Below are 9,330 nucleotides of genomic sequence, written 5' to 3'. Positions count from 1 at the left end.
CAGAGGGCAGGAGAGCTATAGTGTTACTGCAGCTCTGGCTCGGAGAATCTCAAGGTCTGGGCCCCCAGAAGGGTCACTACTCTTCACTCCCATAGTCCAGGAGTATGTCACCACCTGCAGCTTGGTGAGCTGGCCAGGAACATGTTACAGCTTCTTTCCCTCCCACCATTCAGCAGGTCCTGAGTTCTTGTCCCACATCCAGGAAGAATGAGGTTATGTGAATAACTGGAGGGTGAGCAAGGCAGAAAGGAGCTTTATTGAGTGACAGAATAGCTCTCAGTGGAGTGCATACCCAAAATGGGTAGATCCTATTTGCAGGCTTGTCATCCTGATGAGTGTCAGAGTCTGACTGAGTCTGGGGTTTTCATGGGCTCAGAATGGAGGAAGTACATACTGCTTGGTCCATGGGCAGCCATTTGTGGGTCTGGAAAAAGCACCATCCAATTGGCTGAAAGACATCAATGAAGTTTTCACTCCAGGTCACAGACTGCAACCGGAACTGGCAGCCAGGCCCCCATGCTTCAAGCTGTCCCTGGCTTGAAGGTGAGGTTTCACCAGGGACCCACCCGTTCCCACCTAGGAACATGTCTGCCTCTCGCTGCCATCAACATGCCATCCACAGCACCCAGACTGTCCGCACTAAGGGGTGTCCACAGGCCCACACCTAGCTGCCCTCAGCCGTCCTGGCCTCCCCCACCATCCTTGCTCATTAATATCCAAAGTTTCAGCCTCAGAAGCAGTTTCCAGAGGGGGCAAAGGCAGTGGGGAGTCTGGTGTATCAGAACTGCCCTGAACACACACACCTGACCACGTCACAACAGCTCCCAGGCTCAGCTATCACAACACATCCACAACTTTGCTCTGCCACAGAGCAGGTGCCAGCAGTGGAAAGAGGCCAGGGAATGGGAGCAGGCACTTCCAAGCCTGTAAGGGCAGGGGACTTCCAGGGCCCCTGAGAGCACAGGTATGCCTAGGGCTGGAGCCATGGCTGGGCAGCTGCAGCTATGCCTGGGAGCACAGGCTCCCACCCCACTAACTCAGTAGCATATAGGGCTCCCACTAGGATCACCTGTTCCTGGCCCCCCCCAGCTCTGCGGAGTGCACAGCCCCAGCTACACCTCCCCTGCTGCAGCTGGCATCCTGGCAGTGGCCACTCCAGACAGGCCACCACCACTATTCCTATGATAAAGTTTAATGTATAAATTAGGCACAGTAAGAGAATAACAACTAATAACAAAATAGAAAAACTATGACAATATACTGTAATAAAAATTATGTCAATATTTGCATGTTCTCTTTCATTGTCTGTCTCTTAAAACATATCATTGTACTGTACCTGAAACCAAGGAAAGCAAAACTACAGATAAGGAGAGACTGATCTAGTTCTTTAAGTTAGTTTTCTTCCCCTTTATCTCTTTCTTTTTCTGAGACTCCCATAGTGCATATATGACTACTCTTCATGGTGTTGCATCAATCGCATAAGCATTTTTCATTCCTTTTTATTTCTTTTACTGAATAATTTCAAATGACTAGTATTTGAGTTGACAGACCCTTTCTTCTGCTTGATCAAGTCTGCTATTGAAACTCTATTGTGTTTTCCATTTCATTCATTGTATTCTCAGCTCGAAAATCATGGTTGTTTTTAATAATTTCTATCTTTTTGTTGAACATCTTATTTTGTTCATGTGTCGCTTTCTTAATATCATTAAGTTCTCTGTGTTCTCTTGTAGCTTACTGACTTCCTTAAAACAATTGTTGTGAATTCTTTGTCAGACAATTTGTGTATCTCCATTTCTTTGTGGTTGGGTACCAGAAAATTATGTTCCTTTGGTGGTACTAGGTGTCCTTGATTTTTCATGTTCCTCAAAGTCTTGCACTGCTGTCTTCACATTTGAAGAAAGAGTCACTTTCTCTAGTCTTTACTGACTGGATTTGAGAGAAATATCTTCAACAGTGAGCCTATAGGGAATCTGAGGCTCTCTCAGATCTTTTCTATGGATTCACCCAATCCACACTTCTTGGATGGGTGGAGAAGAAATTCTGATGATTGTGTGTCTTCTCTTAAATCCACAAAACCAAACTGGGTCCTGAAAGCTTTCTGTTTGTTTCCTCTAGGACAGTGCCCTGAAATGCTCAATTTTGTATTCCTCCCAATCCTTCAAAGTTGAGCCTGCTGACTGCATGTACTCAAAAGCTGTAGGTAAATGCTCACACTCACCATCTGGAGTGCATGTGCAGGCAACTGACTATAGGAGAAAGGGAAGGGGAATATGCACAAAACATCGGGGGCTCCTATGGGCCAGTTGCAGGGAGATGCTACAGATATGGTGTCCCAAGTGGTTCATGGGTGGGCCTCCTGATGGGCTCTGTGAAATGCTTCAAAGGATATGTACCCTGTACTGAGTTTCAAGTCCTGGTTGCTGTGAGTCCTCTCCTTTCTTTCCTGCTACTGCCCTGTCCCAGCCACTTAGCCATGCTAATACCCTCAATATTCTGAGTTGAGTGAAAGAAAGATGGGCTTCTTGGGATGTGCCTCACACAGCTGGAAAAGCTGGATACTCACTCATTATACTCTCCTTTTCCCCATGGGAGAAATTGCCTGCTGAAGGGAGTCTATCTTGGCACTAAGAAGTGGACCCTGGGGGTGAGGTGATGCAGGTAATTGTTCTTCTTACTCCCTTGAATGCATCTACTCCCAGATATTTTTCTCCAACGGTGTGCTGTTAACTTTTCCATTTAACTCCTAGACTCTGGCAAATGTATTTTCATCCATAGGTGATTGTCAAAATCAGTGCACTATGCAGAGATTATGGTAGAAAACTCCAATATTCCATTGTACTGATGTCATTTTTGTCCATAGATTTATATAATCCATATCAAGTGCATCAAGAAAGTCTGAATAAATGAAAACAATAGTTTGATATTTAGTTAGTATAATTTTTGCATAAATAAGCATACTTAGAGACCTCATTTTCATTTTTATGCTGTCATTTTCAAATGTACATCCTTTGGATCATCAGTTCTGTAGAATATCCCACAAATGAGGACAAATTTGATCTTATAATCAAATATTTTGGAGAAGTTGGTTAAACATAATCAAATTAGTTTCTTTATTTTAAGACTATAATATGCTAATGAACAATGTGAATTTACAAGAAAGAATATACTATGCAATTTTTCTCAATTTATTTAACTTATTTGACTATGGTACTCTGTTTTTATTTTCATTGAGCATCCTAAGAAACTAAAGTTTAACAGACACACATTTGGGGGCAAATGCTTCATCCAAGTCTGCAATTTAGTAACCATTTTAGGAAAGCTGAGGAATACAATCAAGTGGTTGAATGTTTTCAAATATGTTTTGTTTGTAATATTAGAATTAGAGATGTCTAGATTTGGTTTATTCTCTTTTCATGTACTCTAATTACATAGAAAATCATGGCACATATTTGAAATTAAAGACAAGTCCAATCCCTGAGCTCACTAATTTGTGATTATTTCCTATTGTTTTGATTTCTGCCATTTAATATAATGTATTATGTGTGAAGTGTAAGAAAACATTTTTATTTGGCCCTGGACATACCAGAAGTCACGTTTCTAAATATGACAGGCCCTGTGGACAAAAAAAGAGACAATATTGTATCTTGTCACAGTAAGTGGTAACTGTTTAGTGAGCACTTACATGAAATAGGGTTTCTTTTAAGACCCTTACGATGAGGCACGGTGGCTCACACTTTTAATCCCAGCACACAGGGAGGCTGAGGTGGGAGGATCGCTTGAGCCCAGAAGTTCATGGCAGCAGTGAGCTATGATTACACTGCTGCACTCCAACCAGGGCGATAGACCCTGTCTCAAAAAAAAAAAAAAAAAAAGACCCTTGTTAAGTGTATTAATTCATTTAATGCTTATGCTTATGAAAACCTTGAAAAGCAAATATTATCATTGTCTCCTTTTACAAATGGAGAAATACAGAATTTAAGTTCATGAAGTCATCTCCAGAGTTTGTGCATCCAACCACCACATTAAACTATCTTCAAGCATTAGCTATAGAAATGTAATTATTTTGAAATTTCTATTCTTGCTACTTAAAATAGATATAATAGCTCACATATTTCAGTGTCTTCCACAGCTGCATACTGAAAGAAATACATTTGTCAAATCCTAAAGCTTAAATTTTTTTAAATTAAAATGAACTCTGACATCTAACTCTGCTTAAACCAATGAAAAATCATACAAAAGATGCTTGCAAGAGGCATCAGTTTGATTTTATGTATAAGAATTAATAGAAATGAAAATCTTATTCTAAGGCAAAGATATGTAATTAATTCTTCTCTCTTTGTTCAGCATAACTGACATATCCTAAAGAAGTGTTTTCACTGAATACGTTGATGTGTGGCTTAAGTATCATAAATTTAAACAAAAAAAAAAAGAAAAACTTAGATTAAAAAGTGGCAGTTAGCCTGAAAATTACTGGCCTCTGAGATGTACCCTTTAATTATTTCTGAGAAGGGAACTTAAAATGAGGAACATTTATTAGTGGATTATTTTTAGCATCAAACTGATCCCTAATGGCTTTCAGAGAAGTCCTGGTTTAACCTTGGAATATAATTCATTATCACATCTATGGACAGAGCTCTTTCACAGTGCAGATTGAAACTATAATTTTGAGAAAGAAAATGAGGTAGATGTGTTCTATTTAATTAGATCAATTTCCTATATATGGTTAATTTCAAATTTTTGTGACACTTTATGAAGTATTAACAATAATACTAAAAGTACACAATCCAAGTTTAATAATATCCAAAACTTCCAAGTTCTTTCTCAAGCATATGCAAGGGCATTATGTAATATTTTTCTTGACAATATCTTTGAAATCCAGGCGATTGACAGGTCTTATTTTCCATATTTTATAGAAAAAGGATCTGAGTCACAGCAAAATGAAATGACTTATTTAAGGTCAGACAGATGGTTCATGTTGATATCCCATATAGTGTTTTTTTTTGCTTTTTTTTTCAAACTCCAGTTCTCCAAGTGACAAATGGAGAGATAAATGTGAAAATATTTTGTGAATTCTTTTTTCATAAACAATGATTTATTTATGTGTCCATCTATTTGTTTGCTTATCCTTCTTGACCTTAAAGAACTTAAAGATGTTATTAAAACAATAATGTTTATTTTTATAGTCGTATGATGAGGCTATAGAAATTCTAAGTGCTGTTGTTTTTCTGAAGGAAATTGTTTGCATTGCATTTACTTTAATCACGATGACAAACCTTGATGCTTGTATATCACACTTTGGGAGGCCAAGGCGGGTGGATCATGAGGTCAAGAGATCAAGACCATCCCGGCCAACAGGGTGAAACCCCATCTCTACTAAAAATACAAAAAAATTAGCTGGGTGTGGTGGTGCGTGCCTGTAGTTCCAGCTACTTGGGAGACTGAGGCAGGAGAATCACTTGAACCCGGGAGGTGGAGATTGCAGTGAGGCGAGATTGCACCACTGCACACCAGCCTGGAGAGAGAGCGAGACTCCGTCTCAAAAAAATAAATAAATAACTACAGTCGATGTAAAGAAAACAGGTAAAGGTCCTCTTATTTCTCTGATAGATTTATTTGTGTTAGGGTACATATAATAATCTGATGTAATTGTCAAATACACCAGTAAAGAAAACCAAAACTACTCTAGGTATTCTAAGCAGCAAGGGATTCAATAAAGGGAATTCAGTGTTTATGAAATTGTTGGAAAGGCTAGAAGAGTTGATTATGGGCTGGGCCTCCAGGAATTTTTTCTAAAGCAACACAAAGTCACTACTTTGATACCACCATTGGAACTATTGAGTGGGAAAGCACACCCCAGAACAGTGCTCCAGAGATCAGGAAGCTGAAATTCCACTTGCTGCTGCCATTTCCATAGCTGCCTCTAGGACACAGGAAGCTGGAAAAAGGATACTGGAATGTTCTTGCAGAGGAACATACTGTCTTCAGAATCCCGATTGCCAGTAGCACACACCCAAAAATGACAGGAAGACACTCTTTGTCTCATTTCCACATTCCAAGTTTTGCGTGCTCATCTATTTGGCTAAACCCCATTCTTAGTTAGAACTCTAGCTACATTGAAAATTAAAAAATTTTAAGCATTGGAATTTCCACAGTACAGAGAAGCACAGCAAAAGGAGAATGGAGGGAGACTGAATGAGACACCATACAATATCTGCCAAACATGAATTAAAACTTTTAGCTATGATTAGATTTAGACTGGTTTTCATCAATTCTAAGGTACCTTTGGTTGCATAATATGCCACTATTTTATATAGTCCTAAGAGACAAAAATTACGGTCCATTCAATCCTGAAATAGTACTAAGATGCCTTCAATTGTAAAATGCAGCCAATTTTAGAGATATTAACATGTTAAAAGATGTGCATGTTAGAATCAACGGAATACAGTACACATTTCATGACAGATTGTGATGGTATGGCCTTTTTATGCTGGTATGCACGGGCATACAGAGCAGTTTGATGTTTTAAAGAAACATTGATAAGTTGAAATAAATTGATATTTCCATTGTAATTGGCATAATGTGTAAAGAAAAAAGAGCAAAGGAATACTAGAATGGTAAAAGACTGAAAGAGATATTTTATAATCTACCAATATACAGACAATTTACTAAGTTAAATAACTGAAAACTACTTATATCTCTTTAGGTCATGAGTAGATTACATTGCAAATTTCCTTAAGAAGTGTAACCCTGTTGAAAAATTGAAAAACATATTTTGTGGATTATGTTAAAATACATTAAATCAAGCCACCAGGAGTGACTGTATTCTGTCAAAATCACCCGCTCTCCCTCTCCCTCTCCCTCTCCCTCTCCCTCTCCCTCTCCCCTCTTTCCACGGTCTCCCTCTGATGCCGAGCCGAAGCTGGACTGTACTGCTGCCATCTCAGCTCACTGCAACCTCCCTGCCTGATTCTCCTGCCTCAGCCTGCCGAGTGCCTGCGATTGCAGGCGCGTGCCGCCACGCCTGACTGGTTTTCATATTTTTTGGGTGGAGACGGGGTTTCGCTGTGTTGGCCGGGCTGGTCTCCAGCTCCTAACCACGAGTGATCCGCCAGCCTCGGCCTCCCGAGGTGCCGGGATTGCAGACGGAGTCTCCTTCACTCAGTGCTCAATGGTGCCCAGGCTGGAGTGCAGTGGTGTGATCTCGGCTCGCTACAACATCCACCTCTCAGCAGCCTGCCTTGGCCTCCCAAAGTGCCGAGATTGCAGCCTCTGCCCGGCCGCCACCCCGTCTGGGAAGTGAGGAGTGTCTCTGCCTGGCCGCCCATCGTCTGGGATGTGAGGAGCCCCTCTGCCTGGCTGCCCAGTCTGGAAAGTGAGGAGCGTCTCTGCCCAGCCGCCATCCCATCTAGGAAGTGAGGAGCGCCTCTTCCCCGCCGCCATCCCATCTAGGAAGTGAGGAGCGTCTCTGCCCGGCCACCCATCGTCTGAGATGTGGGGAGTGCCTCTGCCCTGTCGCCCCGTCCGGGATGTGAGGAGCGTCTCTGCCCGGCCGCCCCGTCTGAGAAGTGAGGAGACCCTCTGCCTGGCAACCGCCCTGTCTGAGAAGTGAGGAGCCCCTCCGCCCAGCAGCCACCCCGTCTGGGAAGTAAGGAGCGTCTCCGCCCGGCAGCCACCCCGTCCAGGAGGGAGGTGTGGGGGTCAGCCCCCCGCCCGGCCAGCCGCCCCATCCGGGAGGGAGGTGGGGGGGTCAGCCCCCCGCCGGGCCAGCCGCCCCGTCCGGAAGGTGAGGGGCGCCTCTGCCCGGCCGCCCCTACTGGGAAGTGAGGAGCCCCTCTGCCCGGCCACCACCCCGTCTGGGAGGTGTACCCAACAGCTCATTGAGAACGGGCCATGATGACAATGGCAGTTTTGTGGAATAGAAAGGGGGGAAAGGTGGAGAAAAGATTGAGAAATCGGATGGTTGCCGTGTCTGTGTAGAAAGAGGTAGACATGGGAGACTTTTCATTTTGTTCTGTACTAAGAAAAATGTTTCTGCCTTGGGATCCTGTTGATCTGTGATCTTACCCCCAACCCTGTGCTCTCTGAAACATGTGCTGTGTCCACTCAGGGTTAAATGGATTAAGGGCAGTGCAAGATGTGCTTTGTTAAACAGATGCTTGAAGGCAGCATGCTCATTAAGAGTCATCACCACTCCCTAATCTCACAAACACTGCGGGACACAAACACTGCGGAAGGCCGCAGGGTCCTCTGCCTAGGAAAACCAGAGACCTTTGTTCACTTGTTTATCTGCTGACCTTCCCTCCACTATTGTCCTGTGACCCTGCCAAATCCCCCTCTGCGAGAAACACCCAAGAATGATCAATAAAAAAATAAATAAATAAATAAATAAATAAATAAATAAAAATCACCCAACTACAATTGCTATGCAAAGCGTCACCCTTCCCCCTGGGTAGGCCAATGCTTTCACAGGAGGGTAGAGAGCAGTAGAGGGCCAGGAACATGTGCAAAACTGTAACTGGTCAGTTGTGAGCTGACTGGAAGCCGATAAGACAACCAAGGCCTTAGGCTAAGACTCAACCCAGAAGAACACAGCAGGGTCTGCACACAGTATAAGATGCTAGAGATTAATCAAGTGATGTTCAGGAGAAGAAACAATCAGACAACAGTGCTGAGGAAATAGAAAGTAAATAGTCTAAGACTGGAGTTTGAGGTAGACATTTGTTGAGTATCTACTATGTGCCAGGCACTATTCCAGGTGTGTTAGCAAAGGCAGGAATTAGGGTCACATAAGATCAGAAAAGTAGTATTCAGAGACCAGAGTTCTCAGAACAAAGTATGTTAGCAGGCCTGACAAATTATTTTGATGATGTCTCTATTATCCCACTTTGGTCTTGTCAAATGAGCCTGCTGACCTGAGATCAGAAATTAAAGAGCTGCCCCCTCGGTTGCTGAGAGGGCTGAACATGTTCTGTTATCATCAGCAAGCACAAGTGTTTTTTCACGGTAATAATCTCTTCCTGGGTAGCAGCACCAAAATGTCTAGAAAAGAAAAGTTGGCCTGAGATATTTATGGTTCATAATATATTTTGCTGTCAGCTCAAAGATTGCAGATGTCATTTGCCAACAACTCGCTTATTTGATTTATGGAATAATTAATTGTATGTAAGATAAGCAGTGCACTGAAGACTGGCAGTTATAATCAATAGACCCTTGCAGCAAAAAAAAAAAAAAAAGTCTTTATGAAATTGCAAATGCAAGTTCATACTCCACACTAGCAGTGTCTCTCAAATTGCTTTGCTCTTTCTTCAGGTGTAGGCTGAGGGCCGTAAG

The 9,330-nt window shown here is 42.4% G+C and overlaps 1 long non-coding RNA gene across 1 annotated transcript in view; it reads right to left on the bottom strand.

Moving 5' to 3' along the window:
* Positions 1–234: 234 nt before the first annotated feature.
* Positions 235–9,330, bottom strand: part of LINC02015 (long intergenic non-protein coding RNA 2015) — an 82,360-nt gene continuing 73,264 nt past the window's right edge. Inside the window, exons 2-3 of the long non-coding RNA NR_110826.1 lie at positions 3,683–3,846; positions 235–2,895 (exon numbers count right to left, since the gene is read on the bottom strand). This is a non-coding gene — a long non-coding RNA (long intergenic non-protein coding RNA 2015). The remainder of the gene's footprint in view (positions 2,896–3,682; positions 3,847–9,330) is intronic.

The sequence above is a fragment of the Homo sapiens genome, chromosome 3 (genome assembly GCF_000001405.40).
Source record: "Homo sapiens chromosome 3, GRCh38.p14 Primary Assembly".
Classification (NCBI taxonomy): domain Eukaryota; kingdom Metazoa; phylum Chordata; class Mammalia; order Primates; family Hominidae; genus Homo; species Homo sapiens.
The sequence above is the reverse complement of the archived record's forward strand: the minus strand, read 5'-3'. Positions and strand labels throughout refer to the sequence as shown.